The following is a 16,851-nucleotide window of genomic DNA, read 5'->3' as shown; positions in this document are numbered from 1 at the left end:
AAAAAGTCCAGGACCAGATGGATTCACAGCCGAATTCTACCAGAGGTACAAGGAGGAGCTGGTACCATTCCTTCTGAAACTATTCCATTCAATAGAAAAAGAGGGAATCCTCCCTAACTCATTTTATGAGGCCAGCATCATTCTGATACCAAAGCCTGGCAGAGACACTACAAAAAAAGAGAATTTTAGACCAATATCCATGAGGAACATCAATGAAAAAATCCTCAATAAAATACTGGCAAACCAAATCCAGCAGCACATCAAAAAGCTTATCCACCATGATCAAGTGGGCTTCATCCCTGGGATGCAAGGTTGGTTCAACATATGCAAAACAATAAACGTAATCCAGCATATAAACAGAACCAAAAACAAAAACCACATGATTATCTCAATAGATGCAGAAAACGCCTTTGACAAAATTCAACAGCCCTTCATGCTAAAAATTCTCAATAAATTAGGTATTGATGGTATGTATCTGAGAATATTAAGAGCTATTTACGAGAAACCCACAGCCAATATCATACTGAATGGGCAAAAACTGGAAGCATTCCCTTTGAAAACTGGCACAAGACAGGGATGCCCTCTCTCACCACTCCTATTCAACATAGTGTTGGAAGTTCTGACCAGGGCAATCATGCAGGAGAAAGAAATAAAGGGTGTTCAATTAGGAAAAGAGGAAGTCAAATTGTCCCTATTTGCAGAGGACATGGTTGTATATTTAGAAAACCCCATCGTCTCAGCCCAAAATCTCCTTAAGCTCATAAGCAAATTCAGCAAAGTCTCAGGATACAAAATCGATATGCAAAAATCACAAGCATTCTTATACACCAATAACAGATAAACAGAGAGCCAAATCATGCATGAACTCCCATTCACAATTGCTTCAAAGAGAATAAAATACCTAGGAATCCAACTTACAAGGGATATGAAGGACCTCTTCAAGGAGAACTACAAACCACTGATCGATGAAATAAAAGAGGACACAAACAAATGGAAGAACATTCCATGCTCATGGATAGGAAGAATCAACATCATGAAAATGGCCATACTGCCCAAGGTAATTTATAGATTCAATGCCAGCCCCATCAAGCTACCAATGACTTTCTTCACAGAATTGGAAAAAACTACTTTAAAGTTCATATGGAACCAAAAAAAGAGCCTGCATTGCCAAGTCAATCCTAAGTCAAAAGAACAAAGCTGGAGGCATCACGCTACCTGACTTCAAACTATACTACAAGGCTATAGTAACCAAAACAGCATAGTACTGGTACCAAAACAGAGATATAGACCAATGGAACAGAACAGAGCCCTCAGAAATAATGCCGCATATCTACAACCATCTGATATTTGACAAACGTGACAAAAACAAGAAACGGGGAAATGATTCCCTATTTAACAAATGGTACTGGGAAAACTGGCTAGCCATATGTAGAAGGCTGAAACTGGATCCCTTCCTTACACCTTATACAAAAATTAATTCAAGATGGATTAAAGACTTAAATGGCAGACCTAAAACCATAAAAATCCTAGAACAAAACCTAGGCAATACCATTCAGGACATAGGCATGGGCAAGGACTTCATGTCTAAAACACCAAAAGCAATGGCAACAAAAGCCAAAATTGACAAATGGGATCTCATTAAACTAAAGAGCTTCTGCACAGCAAAAGTAACTACCATCAGAGTGAACAGGCAACCTACAGAATGAGAGAAAATTTTTGCAATCTACTCATCTGACAAAGGGCTAATATCCAGAATCTACATAGAACTCAAACAAATTTACAAGAAAAAAACAACCCCATCAAAAAGTGGGTGAAGGATATGAACAGACATTTCTCAAAAGAAGACATTTATGCAGCCAACAGACACATGAAAAAATGCTCATCGTCACTGGTCATCAGAGAAATGCAAATCAAAACCACAGTGAGATACCGTCTCACACCAGTTAGAATGGCAATCTTTAAAAAGTCAGGAAAGAACAGGTGCTGGAGAGGATGTGGAGAAATAGGAACACTTTTACACTGTTGGTGGGACGGTAAACTAGTTCAACCATTGTGGAAGACAGTGTGCCAATTCCTCAGGGATCTAGAACTAGAAATACCATTTGATCCAGCCATCCCATTACTGGGTGTATACCCAAAGGATTATAAATCATGCTGCTATAAAGACACATGCACACGTATGTTTATTGCGGCACTATTCACAATAGCAAAGACTCAGAACCAACCCAAATGCCCATCAATGATAGACTGGATTAAGAAAATGTGGCACATATACACCATGGAATACTATGCAGCCATAAAAAATGATGAGCTCATGTCCATTGTAGGGACATGGATGAAGCTGGAAACCATCATTCTCAGCAAACCATCACAAGGACAAAAAAATAAACACTGCATGTTCTCACTCATAGGTGGGAATTGAACAATGAGAACACCTGGACACAGGAAGGGGAACATCACACACCAGGCCCTGTTGTGGGTTGGGGGTAGGGGGGAGGGATAGCATTAGGAGATATACCTAATGCTAAATGACGAGTTAATGGGTGCAGCACACCAACATGGCACATGTATACATATGTAACAAACCTGCACGTTGTGCACATGCACCCCAGAACTTAAAGTATAATAAAAAAAATTAATGGAGAAAACAATTGAAAATGTTTGTGATAAAAAAAAAAGAATGGTAATGTTTCTCTAAATATTTAATATTTAATTTGGGGCCTGTATTATATTTAAAAGTGTAGAAACCATGTTAAATGAAAATGAATAATATAAATTTGCATAAACAGAATAATCATAATGATATTTTGTTTAAAAACACTATACTAATGACAAATATTATGGAAGCATTGGTTGTCTCTGGATGCACTGGATGTCTTTGGTAGCATTATAGATGGATTTTTAAGTCTCTTTTCTACTTTTCTTGAGCCTTCAAAATTTTCTAGAATGAATATGTGTTATTTTACTGAGAGAAAATCTAAACGCTTAGAGGAAACACAAAAATACATAAATGATTATAATTATTTTGGAGTTATATAGATTACTGTCCATCAAAATTTCATGTCAGTCAGAGGCCAATAGGCAGCAGTGGGTACTATAGAAAGCAGATGCATTTACATATAAATTATTTTGCAGAAATGTGACAAATCAGTTGGTAGTGAAGGCATAACCCAGAAACACTGAATTTGGCTTTCAAAGCATATAAAAGAGTTGATATGCATGTAATGTAAGTCACTTAAAACAATGTTTTGAAACAAGACTGACTATGCATACTTCTGTAAAAGACAAAACACATGAGAGATTCTTGAGTGTCCACTAAAATACATACAGACAAAACTGAAAAGTGACTCCCTATCACCTAAATGAGGCAAAGAAAGTGGCTGGGGTGGTGGTGGTGGCGGGGGGGCGGGGTGGCGGGGGGCGGTGGCTGGTATTGAAAAAATTGTGGGAGGGAAATTAAAGCTTATAGCAAAATACACAGAAGAGGGTAGGCACTCCATAAATGTGAGCTGCCTTGCCCTGCTCCACTGGAGGCAAATATCCTCAAAAGAGTGTTTCCTTTTTCTGATGAGCAGGTTAGTTAGTCCAATCTCAGTCTTTGGACTGGTGGATGTAGGTATGATTAGGTAGGGAAGGTATAGAAACAGTAAGGCCTGTGCAACAGAAAGGCTGTTGACCTTCAAACATCATTGTAAGTAACAGCAAGCGCTGCTCCTGGGGCACAAGGATTCAGTTTTGGTGAGGTGGGAAGTTTCAAATAGCTTTTCTATTTACAGAAGCAGCCTCAATGCCCCAAACCACATCAGTTCACTGCAGTGGGGAGTTCACTCCAATTAGTATTTGACTTTTGACTAAAATTGCTTTCAGAAACAAACAAATTCTTTCCTTTTTAAGAGGATTCTGTTGCATAGGCCAGACAGAATCTCTACCCTTTCCCCACCTAATCATACCTACAGCCACCAGACCAACGACTAAGACTGGGCTAACTTGCTCATTGGAAAAGGAAACACTCTTTTGAGGGAAACTGCCTCCACTGGAGCAGGGAATGGCAGCTCACATTTACCACGCGCCTACCCTCTCCTATGCATTTTGCTCCAAGCTTCAATTTTCCCCATTCCATTTTATGCTCCAGATGTGAATGCTAGGTCCTCTTCTTCAAAAGGTAATTTGACTTCTTCACCTGAATTAAGGTTCAAAGACATCATTAAATCTAGAAATATGAAAATCATTATATTGTGCTAGCCTATCATTGATTTGTTTATGTTTCAATGTTTAGAGATTTGGTGGAATATAGCAAAGACAAAGACCAGGCCATTTTCTTCTTTTTTAACAACAACAAAAACTGTATGCTGATTTTAATGCTATTCAGAACATTGCTGTTGATAACCAGTGTGATAATGAAGACAACGATGAAGCTGCACACCTTTGCCTCTTCTTTTAAAAATTAACTTCTCTGTGGCTTTCTGATGTGCATTGCACTTACACTTAATCCATCCTTGGTATCCAAGATCAGAAATCAAAATGACCTTGATATTTTAGAGAAGGAGGCAGGCAGAAAGTGGGGTAGAACTGAATAAAAATATCAAAAGGGCACTTCCACTGTGCCCCTTGGCAGACATAGTCATTTCCTCCGGGAGCTCCTAATATATTTAACTCATATTTCCATTGGTGCCACACTGTGTTATAATTTTTGCTTACATATCTGACTTCCCAAAAAGCCTGGAAACTCTTAAGGTCATAACGAGCCTTATTCATCTTTTTATCACCAGGGATACAAGCTAAGCCGAAGTTAGGAAGTTAGTACATCCAGGCTTTAACAAGGTCAACAGAAGTATGGCATATAAAGAAGGCTAAGAGATATGTTTCATCAGAGTCAATGTTGGTTAAAATTTCAATTCTGGTAGAGTTTCTAGTTTAGAACCCAGGGCTTTAAACAAAACTTGGGAAACATGGAAGTAATATGGAAGAAAACAATTTAGCTGGTTAAAGATCTGGAGAAATAGGTGAGGCATCAGAACTCCTCAATTCATAAAAGAAAAGATGGCAGTGGAGTGGAAGTAACTAGAAAGGAATGAGACGGTGTTATGGGGTGACTTGAATACTGAAGTGCTCTCCACTTTGGCAGCTAATCCCCATATTCCCTAAGAATAGCCAAGAATGCCTGGCTCATGCCATGATAGCCAGGTGTCACAGCCGACAGCAGCAGACAGGCACATGGAAATGCAGAAATGCTAGGGATATGTGCTAAACAATTTTCTGTGACTGAGACTCTTTGTTCAGATCTGACTGAAATTAGGTGGTTAAAGGGCCCACCCTACCAGAATCTCCTCTCCCACATTTTTTCATAAATTCTAGGATGTTAGATAAATTAAGTCCTTAATAAAATGAGATCCTCTGGGCAGACTGCCGAGGCAGGGAAGCCCAGCCTCAGCCCGACAGAGACAACAAAAAAGGGCCCTGATTAGGTTTTCTTCTCATCTTCATCCAATCACCCTGATTCCTCTAACATAAAGAAAATAAATGAAAAGGCATCTAAGGGGAAATAAATCTGCAAAAAGCAAGACCCTCTTTACCTAAATATGTCTCAACTCTGTCAAGACCTACAAGTAGGAGGCAAGTTGAAAAATAACCCTGCCGATGACAGCCATGTCTGAAAGGTTGTTCCTCCTTAGGCTCAGGGTTAAGAGGAGCTGAGAAGTGGGGGAGAAGAACTAGAAAGAAAAATACCTTCACAGAAACCCAGGGCTCCAGATCTTTCTAATTTCCCTCATCTACTCAAGTTCACGGCCCACAGGGAAATTGGTGGGGCGGAAGGGAGCAGTGAGAGAGACGGAGACAACTTTAAAAGCAATTTGTTTTGTAATGGGTCAAAATCAAGTTCAAAGAGGAAAAAAAAAGTCATTTCCCTCCAACATACAGTACATCTATAGTCCAAACAGAGGCTGCTTTGTTAGAAGCTTCTAGAAATTCTGCAGACAGCAGAGGTTAACAGAGGTCAATGGAGTTAATTGTTTATAAGGTCCCCTTTGCTCTCTCTTAAAAACAAAAAGCATGTTATGTTTTTTCCTGATCCACGGAAGCGGCCCCTCTGTGCTGGCTCTCGTTCTGCTAAATGCTGTCAGTGGGGCCTACAGCAAGAGCCCGGCCACCAGCACACCTGTGGACCCTGTTTCACAGCCGGGGAGAACTGGGCAGGCCATCAGCAATGAGATCCAGCTGCGCTGCCTGATAGGCTAATGTCCCATATCATGTCCTTCCCTTTCATGTCTCTGGCTCGGGGCTTCCAATTTGACCAGATGTACTGAGAGCTAAAAGATCCAGGGGGCTGTTCTGAGCTAGTCTGAACAAACAGTGACATTCATTTTATACCACGGAAGCTTTACACTAGAAGGTCCTATGAAGTGTGAGAAGTCAATGTGGACATCCCTGCTGCTGCCAAGAAGTAAAGAACAGGCAGGACCCCTCACTATCCCGTTGGAAAGAGCTGCAACGTTCCAAATGGAAATGCCCCTGCTTCTTACCCGGGCACACTCCACTTTGGCACACTCTCCAGTCTGGCAGGTCACTTGGCCATGATCACACATGCAGAACTCACAGGCCGAGCCCTTCCACATTTCGTCCTGGTACCGCACAACTCCATCATAGGAGCAGCTCCCGGCAGGAGACACACATTCCTCACAGCATTGCCCATGACGCCGAGCCCTGCTCTGACCCTAGGACACAGAGAGGAAGGTGAGGGGCAGTCCTCAGGAGACGGTGAAACACCCAAGCCAACAGAGGCAGGAGGACCCAAAATACCAAAGCTCTACATGGCTCTTTCTCTGGCCCGACCCACGATGGGCAGGGTCCCTTGCACCTCAACCCTTCTTCCTAGGAAGCAGAGCCTTCATATCTTTATGTAACTTTGCAAACATTATAAAACTTTTGATTCCCCCAAAGGACACACCGGAATAAGAAGTGCATTCCTTAAATGACCCAGAAAAGAGCTTAAACAAGTAAGGTACACACTCTCAAATACCTTTCCGCATCTCAGGGGCAGGCAGGCCTGCTTGTGACACCTGACCTCACCCCGGTCACATATACACGTGGTGCAGGCATTTTCGCTCCACTGCTCACCATGCTGCATGAAGACAGGAAAGAAGAACATGGAAAATCAAATGTCCCATACATCAAATAGAAGCACTGTCACATAAGACACCCAATTTTCATTACATTTGTAAGATGAGCCACATTGAATGTACTCTTGAGAAATGAAAACATTTAGATAGGAATAGCCTCTATGAAAACAGTCAATAAATGTCCAAAGGAGACTTTAATTTTCATTCACCTATATTCATTCTACAGGTGTGTTGAGGGCCCACTCTGTGCCAGGCACATAGAGACCCGAGACATTGAGATGGGTAGAAAGACCTTGTTGACTGGCTCATCCATGGCATTCTTTAGCTCTTGCCTTTGCCAGGAGACCCAGCCCTCACTGCCATATACTCACTTTGCCAGCTTCCCTTGCAGCTAGGGCATGGACACTGTCCAACCGGAGGGGACCTCACGGGAAATTTGCTAGAGTGGTGGAGGTCAAAGTAAAAATTCTCCTCCCACATGAAACAAAATCCCACCCCTCTCTTCTACCAACCTTTAGTAATAGCTGTGTGAGGATGAGCTGCCCAGGGCTGAGGAGGTCTCCTTGGGGATGGGAGGGGACAAGATGAAGGGCAAATGCCAACATGTTAAGGGTGGCAGGTGGAAAGATCAAAAGAGCTTAGATCCTTGAAGGCATCATTGAGACCTGAATTGAGAAACCCTGCAGCTGCCCCATCCCACCTCTAGATGACATAATTAATGTTAGCATTTTAGGCACTTTTAGAGTGGGATTTCTGTTCCTTGTAGTTGAAGATGCCATTACAGATATAAAGCCTGTCTCTTCAAAGAAAAACTCAGTCTAACAATCCTGTCCAATAAAAATATAATGCAAGCCACATATGTGGCCACTGTGTCAGGCAGCACAGATCTAGCACATATAAAAATCCTTCCCAATTAGTTATTTTCATTCAGATTTCAAGTGACCTGCCTAGAATTTGTGAGGCACCTATCCCCTAATACTTAGTTTCAGATTTTCTACTGAGAGTCATGACCCCAATTTCTATTTAGTCTTTTTTAGAGTGGCTGGCGAGTAAGGGAAGTAATTGAGTTTATTTTTTTATGTGTTCTTTGCTTTTGAGTAATGTAACCTTTTTCTGGACCAGCTAGGCACTCCCAAGACAGAACATTCACTCATTCATTCATCCATTCATTCAATTTGTTAAACTCATCTTTATTTGATGCTTACTACATGTTAGGCACATCGTTATCCAGGCTATCCAATAGTACTTTTGAGTTTGCAGGTTCTACCACCAACAGCCTCTCGCCTCCCTTCCCTCTGTCTTCTACCACCGCCAGGTTTTCCCCAGTGTAAGATGGCAGGGGTGTGAGGGGACGGTCTCCAGATGTCAATGCATAAAATCCAACCAAAGCAGAAAAACATCCACAGAGCCTCAAAGCTAAATGTAAACTGATGGTAATCAATAATAGCCCTTTTTTTCCCCCTCAAGACATGTGAACAGTAAGTTCACCAAGGTTCTTAAACTAGGTTCTGCTTGCCAGCACATTCCTTTATATTTCTAATCCTCTTCAACTTAATTTTTTCCTACAAGTTTTCTGTGAAGAGAAGAGAAAAGCTGTTTATGTACTGAGTTACTATTCCTGGCAGAGTCAGACATGAGGGTGGTGACTTATGGTGGCTGGAGTGGGTGGAGGGCAGATGTGTGAGAACGGATGTCAAAACACCTACATGGGGAGCATGAAAGCTTACCTCGTATACTTGGCCAGCTGCAGAGCAGGATCTTGCAGAGCACTGCGGGCAACATTTTCCAGGGACTCGGACTACAGTCTCATCCTTAACACGCAGAACAGGAACAATCCATCACAAAGTGATATTAATAAGATCCACAACAGCAGGAAAATTTCATTCACAGCCAACTAAATCATGCCCCCAAGCATCTATAACAGCACTTGCCTCTCATTTAACATTTCTTAGTCACCTGGGACTCTGATAAGAATGAACAATTCCAAGGTCAGTGTGCCCTTAAGAAGTTTGCACATGCCTCAAGTCCTGTCTTATTTTAAAAACAAAGAAAAGCACAAATAACAATAATAATGGTTCTTGGTGTCTTCCAGGCACTGTTCTAAGTGCTTCACATGACCCTATGAGTAGATGCTCTTATCCTTGCTTTACAAAAGAGAATAGTAAAGACCAGAGAGGTGTGTAACTTGCCCAAGGTCACACAGCTAACTTGGTAATGGTAACTGGTTGGCAGCAGGACTTCTGAGTACCAACCATACCAACATTTAAGAACATTGATACTCCTGCTGAATCATCCTGAAACTCAAAAGTGAAGGTATCCTTCCTTTGATAAGCTACTTCACTATTATTTTGCATATATAAATGTATAAATTTATTTACATGAATGGACACATATTTATATGTGCATTGGAGAGGTCTTTCACATGAAAAAAAATCACTCATATCTCTAGGTATCTGGGAATAAGCCAGTGCAGAGAAATGTGGGTGACAGATTAAATGCCCAAAGAACCCTTTCCCAGCTACTCTATGTCCCTACATTCTCACCTCTGCCACAACCACCACTCCCAGAATATCAGACTATTTGTCTCTGCTGCCCTAAGAAGAATTTTCTTTCTTTAATTTTCATTAATGCCAAAGAGTCAGCCTCTCACTTTGACTTATCACTACAGCCTTCTTCAATGTCAGGAAAGGAGACATGAAAGGCAGAGGAAATGGTGAGAACAAACCAAGTGTCAATAACTAAGAAGTGGTAGATCTTATACAGAAGATAAATCTGGAACAGTTGTCTTCACTTTCTCTTATGAGGAGTAGAAAACACAATTTTATTGTCATTGTTACTCTGGTATTCATGCTGCAAGAACAAGAAGGCCAGTCTACTTGGGAGGGGTGGAGTCACAGAACTTTTAATTTTTCGTGGAAAACCCCAGTCATACCTCAGCAATTCTTTAACCCCATTATATATGATCAGTTGTATTCATGTATTACTACCTAACTGGGATTTATTTCAAATGCCTGAACCACTAGAATTAAATTGACAACTATTTTCTCTGTTTTAGGTTGTTTTATTTCTTTATTTTTCTATATGCAAAGTATTATGACCACTGATTGTTTAATGGAATATGTGGAAATTGAACTTGCACTGAAATCATTTAGTGTTTCTTGACTACAGACAGATCTCTTCAGCTTAATAAGCTTTCAGTGAGAAAATGAAGGTTAGCTGATGTTACACTATTCAGCAACTTTATTATAATAAACAAATGAACTAAGCCTTACACAATGTCAGACAAACAGGAAACAAATGTCAAAATCACAAATCTTGAATAGGCATAGAGTTAGCATCAATCTATCTTAAGCAACGTGGAGTAGACTCAAGAACTGTAGCAGAGTCCCCGTGAGCGTATGCAGGGAGGGAGGTATTACCTGTATGGTGGTTGATATAGGGCAAATTGTGCTTTCCAAATCTTATTGGCAACATCTAATTATACATTGTATTGATCAAAACAGAATCTTTCTTCAAAAATATAAACCAACAAGAGCAGGAAGGAAAAGCATTAAAGAAAAAATTTTCAGGAAACAAGAGAACTACACGATTGAGAGCTGAGATCCATCTGGGCTGGTGCTTTACAGCCAGAACTGGAGAGGAAGTAAGAAGAAGCTGAGTAGGGAGGTGGAGCAGAGATAGGAAAGGCTTTTTGACAGTATACTTTTGTTGTTACCATACACCTGAATTCTATCATTCTGACCACCATATACATGCCCTTCTAACCACAGAGTCTAATACACGGGCCAACAAACAATGGTCTGTGGGCTAAATCCAGCCCACTGCCTGTTTTTGTAAATAAAGCTTTACTGGAACATAGCTATGCCCATTCATTTACATATTGTCTATGGCTGGTTTTGTGCTACGATGGTATAATTGAGTAAGTTGTTCCAACTGTATGGCACACAAGGCTAAAAATGTTTGTTATCTGGTTCTTTATGGAAAAAGTTTGCCAACCCTAGGTCTAATATGGTGCCCTCAGTAAACAGGAGTTTAGTACTAAAACATATTACTAATGCCACTACAATTTGGGGTAGGACTATCACTAAAGATGTATTCGGCTATGGTTTTCAGTATTCCTTAAATAAAAATACTTATGATAAAGAAGTTTATAGTGTATTATGGATGAAAGCTCTTGACAAAATTTCTCCCCAGCACAATACTCTTGAAAATATAGAAAGAGATTAAAACCCCACCACCAAAGAGTAAGACAAACAGTCCACCTCCTGCCATTGCCAGGAGGAAATCCCACTGACCCTAAGACATTCTATGGCCTGCCATTGCAAGCCTAAATAAAAATAAGAACCATCATCTCTTCCCAACTTTCCACCTTCCTAGCTCTAACAGAATATGGCCTTCCTCCCTCCAATGTGTGGCCACTGCTGTTTGAGGCAAAGAGTTAGCCCTAGCCTTTCACCTCCCTTAATATCTTTCTTTCTGCATCTAGTCAGAGCCCATGATGTCAAACAATAAAACATGAGTGGGAAGTATGTGTGCTGGGGAAGAAGAGGGAGTGATGAAAAGCAGTGAGGAAGGAGAGTGCCCCGGTGTAAAGAATCACAGTCAGAGAGAGACATGGAAAGAGCCTTCAAAGCAGTGCAGGCTGAGGATCTGAGTTTTTTGTTCCATGTGATCAGAAGATAAGAGGGCTGGGCAGTGGAGAAAGAAAAAGAAATGATCTCAGTCAATGTAACTACACTAAGTGAAAACTTGCCAGACCCTTGGATTAGGTGGCATGCTTATTTCCTAGCATCTGGCTATAAATCTACTTACCCTTGCAGCTTTCAAGCAGTGACTATAGTCTGATTTTTCTTGATGAAGGATGAGTAAATAGAAAGAAGGGAACTTGGGAGAAAACTCTGAAGAATGATAGGTAGGAAAGGAAAAATATCTTCTACTCATCCTAAGTTCATAGCTGAGGCAGATTAACAAGAGAAAAGCATAAAAACTTATTTAAGTTTTATGTGACACAGGAACCTTCATAAGGAAATGAAGACCCAAAGAAACACTTAAACCTGAGTGTTTTTTTAGAGTAGCTGTGACAAAGAATGGATAGTCATTCCATTGGGCAAAAAGCATGATCTAATGATAACATACTGGGGAAAAATTTGCAAGGTGTATTTGTTCAGATTTTTTCTGTGTCCCTGTGTCTTCGGAGATAAGGGTGTTTCTTTTGTATGGGTGTAAGGACAGCATCTCTCACATGAGAGTCTTAAAACCTGCTTTAGGGAAAGATCTGAAAATGCTTCCTAAGCTTCATGACCTGCTTCAAGGTAGAAGCGCAGGGGGAAGGTCAAAGTGATTTTCCTGCTACTCCCGTTTACTCAAATTCCTTCTGCTTAAAATATTCAATATGCCAAGATGCTATATTTGGGGATAGCATGTCCAGAATCCCATCAAAGACAAAGGAGTAACACTCTAAAGATTCAGAGAAACAGCAGACTTCTGAAAACTATTTACTACAGGATCTAAACAAAAATGTTTAAAAGCCATTTTGTAAGTTCAGTAAGATGCAAGAATATTCAGACTTTATCAAACAGAAGCAGGAAGCAATAAAAAATCAACAGGATAAAAAAGTAGATGAACCAATGATAGTAGAAATAAAAAAGACTTAATTAAAGCAAAATTATCAAATTAAAATCAGTATTAGAGATACTAGATATAAACTTAAGAAAATCTCGCCATGCAGAGGAAAGGCACAGTGAAAAATGATGAGAGAGAACATGATTTATAAAGAGAAGGAAACAGAGAGGAGCAATCTAAGAGTCATAGATATTTCTGGAGAAGTGAGAATAATTGGAACAGATATGATTAATCAAAGCCATCACTGAAGAAAACATTTCAAAAACTGGAATACAGTCTAAAAGAGCTCCATAATATTCCAGACAAAAATATATAAAAAGATACCTCACCTAGAAATATTCTGAAAGACGTTTGAATTATAAAGGTAAAGAAACATCCACAACCAATATCATACTGAATGGGCAAAAACTGGAAGCATTCCCTTTGAAAACTGGCACAAGACAGGGATGCCCTCTCTCACCACTCCTATTCAACATAGTGTTGGAAGTTCTGGCCAGGGTAATTAGGCAGGAGAAGGAAATAAAGGGTATTCAGTTAGGAAAAGAGGAAGTCAAATTGTCCCTGTTTGCAGATGACATGATTGTATATCTAGAAAACCCCATTGTCTCAGCCCAAAATCTCCTTAAGCTGATAAGCAACTTCAGCAAAGTCTCAGGATACAAAATCAATGTACAAAAATCACAAGCATTCTTATACACCAACAACAGACAAACAGAGAGCCAAATCATGAGTGAACTCCCGTTCACAATTGCTTCAAAGAGAATAAAATACCTAGGAATCCAACTTACAAGGGATATGAAGGACCTCTTCAAGGAGAACTACAAACCACTGATCGATGAAATAAAAGAGGACACAAACAAATGGAAGAACATTCCATGCTCATGGGTAGGAAGAATCAATATGGTGAAAATGGCCATACTGCCCAAGGTAATTTACAGATTCAATGCCATCCCCATCAAGCTACCAATGACTTTCTTCACAGAATTGGAAAAAACTACTTTAAAGTTCATATGGAACCAAAAAAGAGCCCGCATTGCCAAGTCAATCCTAAGCCAAAAGAATAAAGCTGGAGGCATCACACTACCTGACTTCAAACTATACTACAAGGCTACAGTAACCAAAACAGCATGCTACTGGTACCAAAACAGAGATATAGATCAATGGAACAGAGCCCTCAGAAATAACTCCGCATATCTACAACTATCTGATCTTTGACAAACCTGAGAAAAACAAGCAATGGGGAAAGGATTCCCTATTTAATAAATGATGCTGGGAAAACTGGCTAGCCATAGGTAGAAAGCTGAAATCGGATCCCTTCCTTACACCTTATACAAAAATCAATTCAAGATGGATTAAAGACTTAAACGTTCAACCTAAAACCATAAAAACCCTAGAAGAAAACCTAGGCATTACCATTCAGGACAGAGGCATGGGCAAGGACTTCATGTCTAAAACACTAAAAGCAACGGCAACAAAAGCCAAAATTGACAAATGGGATCTCATTAAACTAAAGAGCTTCTGCACAGCAAAAGAAACTACCATCAGAGTGAACAGGCAACCTACAAAATGGGAGAAAATTTTCGCAACCTACTCATCTGACAAAGGGCTAATATCCAGAATCTACAATGAACTCAAACAAATTTACAAGAAAAAAACAAACAACCCTATCAAAAAGTGAGCGAAGGACATGAACAGACACTTCTCAAAAGAAGACATTTATGCAGCCAAAAAACACATGAAAAAATGCTCACCATCACTGGCCATCAGAGAAATGCAAATCAAAACCACAATGAGATACCATCTCACACCAGTCAGAATGGCAATCATTAAAAAGTCAGGAAACAACAGGTGCTGGAGAGGAGGTGGAGAAATAGGAACACTTTTACACTGTTGGTGGGACTGTAAACTACTTCAACCATTGTGGAAGTCAGTGTGGTGATTCCTCAGGGATCTAGAACTAGAAATACCATTTGACCCAGCCATCCCATTACTGGGTATATACCCAAAGGACTATAAATCATGCTGCTATAAAGACACATGCACACGTATGTTTATTGCAGCATTATTCATAATAGCAAAGACTTGGAACCAACACAAATGTCCAACAATGATAGACTGGATTAAGAAAATGTGGCACATATACACCATGGAATACTATGCAGCCATAAAAAATGATGAGTTCATGTCCTTTGTAGGGGCATGGATGAAATTGGAAATCATCATTATCAGTAAACTATCGCAAGAACAAAAAACCAAACACTGCATATTCTCACTCATAGGTGGGAATTGAACAATGAGAACACATGGACACAGGAAGGGGAACATCACACTCTGGGGACTGTTGTGGGGTGGGGGGAGGGGGGAGGGATAGCATTGGGAGATATACCTAATGCTAGATGACGAGTTAGTGGGTGCAGCGCACCAGCATGGCACATGTATACATATGTAACTAACCTGCACATTGTGCACATGTACCCTAAAACTTAAAGTATAATAATAATAATAGATAAATAAATAAAAATAAAAATAAATAAAAGTTAAAAAAGGATGAAAAAAATAAAAATTTAAAGAATATCTAAAAAAAAAAAAAGAAAAGAAACATCCCACAAGAATGCAATAGAGTAAAATTAGCTGCATGTAATACAATAGAAAGCAGACAAACCTCAGATTTCTCCTCCATGGCACTAAATTCCAAAATTCAGTGGAAAGGAGTCCATAGGGTCAGGATGGGAAGAGATTATAGTCCTTCCAAATTTTAGATACCCCCAATTGTCTTTCATGTATGACAGCAACAAGAAAATCATACTCAAATGCGTAAAGGCTCAGAAGACTTACCAATCATTTATCTTTCTTTTTTCTTTTTTTTTTTTTTTTGATACAGGTCTTGCTCTGCCACCCAGGCTGGAGTGCAGTGACATGATCACGGCTCACTGCAGCCTCAACCTCCCAGGCTCAAGAGATCCTCCCACCTCAGCCTCCCAAGTAGCTGGGACTACAGGCATGAACCATCATGTCCGGCTAAGTTTTGCATTTTTTGTAGACACAGGGTTTTGCCACATTGCCCAGGATGGTCTCGAACTCCTGGGCTCAAGCAATTCACCCCTGTAGGCTTCCCAAAGTGCTGGGATCACAAGCATGAACCACCATGCCTGGCTCATCTATCTTTCTTGAAAAAACATCCAAAGATGAAGTTCAAACTACTCGGATTAATTAATATTAGATCTGGTAAAAGTAGGTATTAAAAATCTCTCAAGAACTCTCATCAGACTGAACAAACAATTTCAGTGAGCCTACAGAAATGTGGAAGGGTTATGGTTATGGCTCTGTTTACAAAGAATCTGGACAAAAGTTGAAAGCAGGCAATTTCAGTATGAATTTACATCCTTCGTTAGAAGAATAACCCCTTATATGAACACAAGGAATTTCTCCTCTTGTCAAGGATTATCACCAATTTTTAAAATGTGATTATAACTATGCTAACAAACATATCTACATTTTCTTACCAAAAGACTGGAATGAATTCTCCTCCCCTCTCCACCACCAAATCTATCTTGGTCTTTTTGAATGGTGGAAATATGGGTGATTGTTTTCCTTTCAGCTTGTCCACCCTTGCCAAACTTTCCTTAATGATTACAAAATTCCTTTTGAAACTTAAAAAATAAAAATAAAAACCTTACATTAAAAATCATGAAAATCCTTGAAGACAGGTTGCAAATTTTTCCAGAATTCAAGACCTGAAAATACATTTGTACTGATAAACTTGTGTTTCCCTTATATTTAATGATGTAATGTATATAACATTCTTGGAAGGCTTGATGTTAGCAAACATCATTATTATGGTTATTATTAGGCAGGTGCAAAAGTAATCATGGCCTTGGTAATGGCCATTACTTTTGCACCAGCCAGTATTATATATAAATGTGTAACTCATTATTCTGGGAGTAGTAGCATACTGATTAAAAATATAAGTCACATATAGTCTTCTGAGATTGCAATGTAGAACAGTTTAGGTTAAAAGTGCTGACACTTTGAGCAAGTTACTTACACTCTCTGGACCTCAGTTTTATCAGCTATAGAATAGAAATCATAATAATAGCTCCTACTCTGTAGG

The 16,851-nt window shown here is 39.8% G+C and overlaps 1 protein-coding gene across 2 annotated transcripts in view; it reads right to left on the bottom strand.

Annotated features, from left to right (window-relative positions):
• FRAS1 (Fraser extracellular matrix complex subunit 1) overlaps positions 1-16,851 on the bottom strand; it is a 486,947-nt gene that overhangs the window by 270,316 nt on the left and 199,780 nt on the right. For both annotated transcript variants that reach the window (NM_025074.7, NM_001166133.2), the window contains exons 7-9: positions 8,846-8,929; positions 7,019-7,120; positions 6,522-6,713 (exon numbers count right to left, since the gene is read on the bottom strand). In NM_025074.7, coding sequence (NP_079350.5) covers positions 6,522-6,713; positions 7,019-7,120; positions 8,846-8,929 — 378 coding nt within the window. The remainder of the gene's footprint in view (positions 1-6,521; positions 6,714-7,018; positions 7,121-8,845; positions 8,930-16,851) is intronic.

This window comes from Homo sapiens, chromosome 4 (assembly GCF_000001405.40).
Source record: "Homo sapiens chromosome 4, GRCh38.p14 Primary Assembly".
Lineage (NCBI taxonomy): Eukaryota > Metazoa > Chordata > Mammalia > Primates > Hominidae > Homo > Homo sapiens.
The sequence above is the reverse complement of the archived record's forward strand: the minus strand, read 5'-3'. Positions and strand labels throughout refer to the sequence as shown.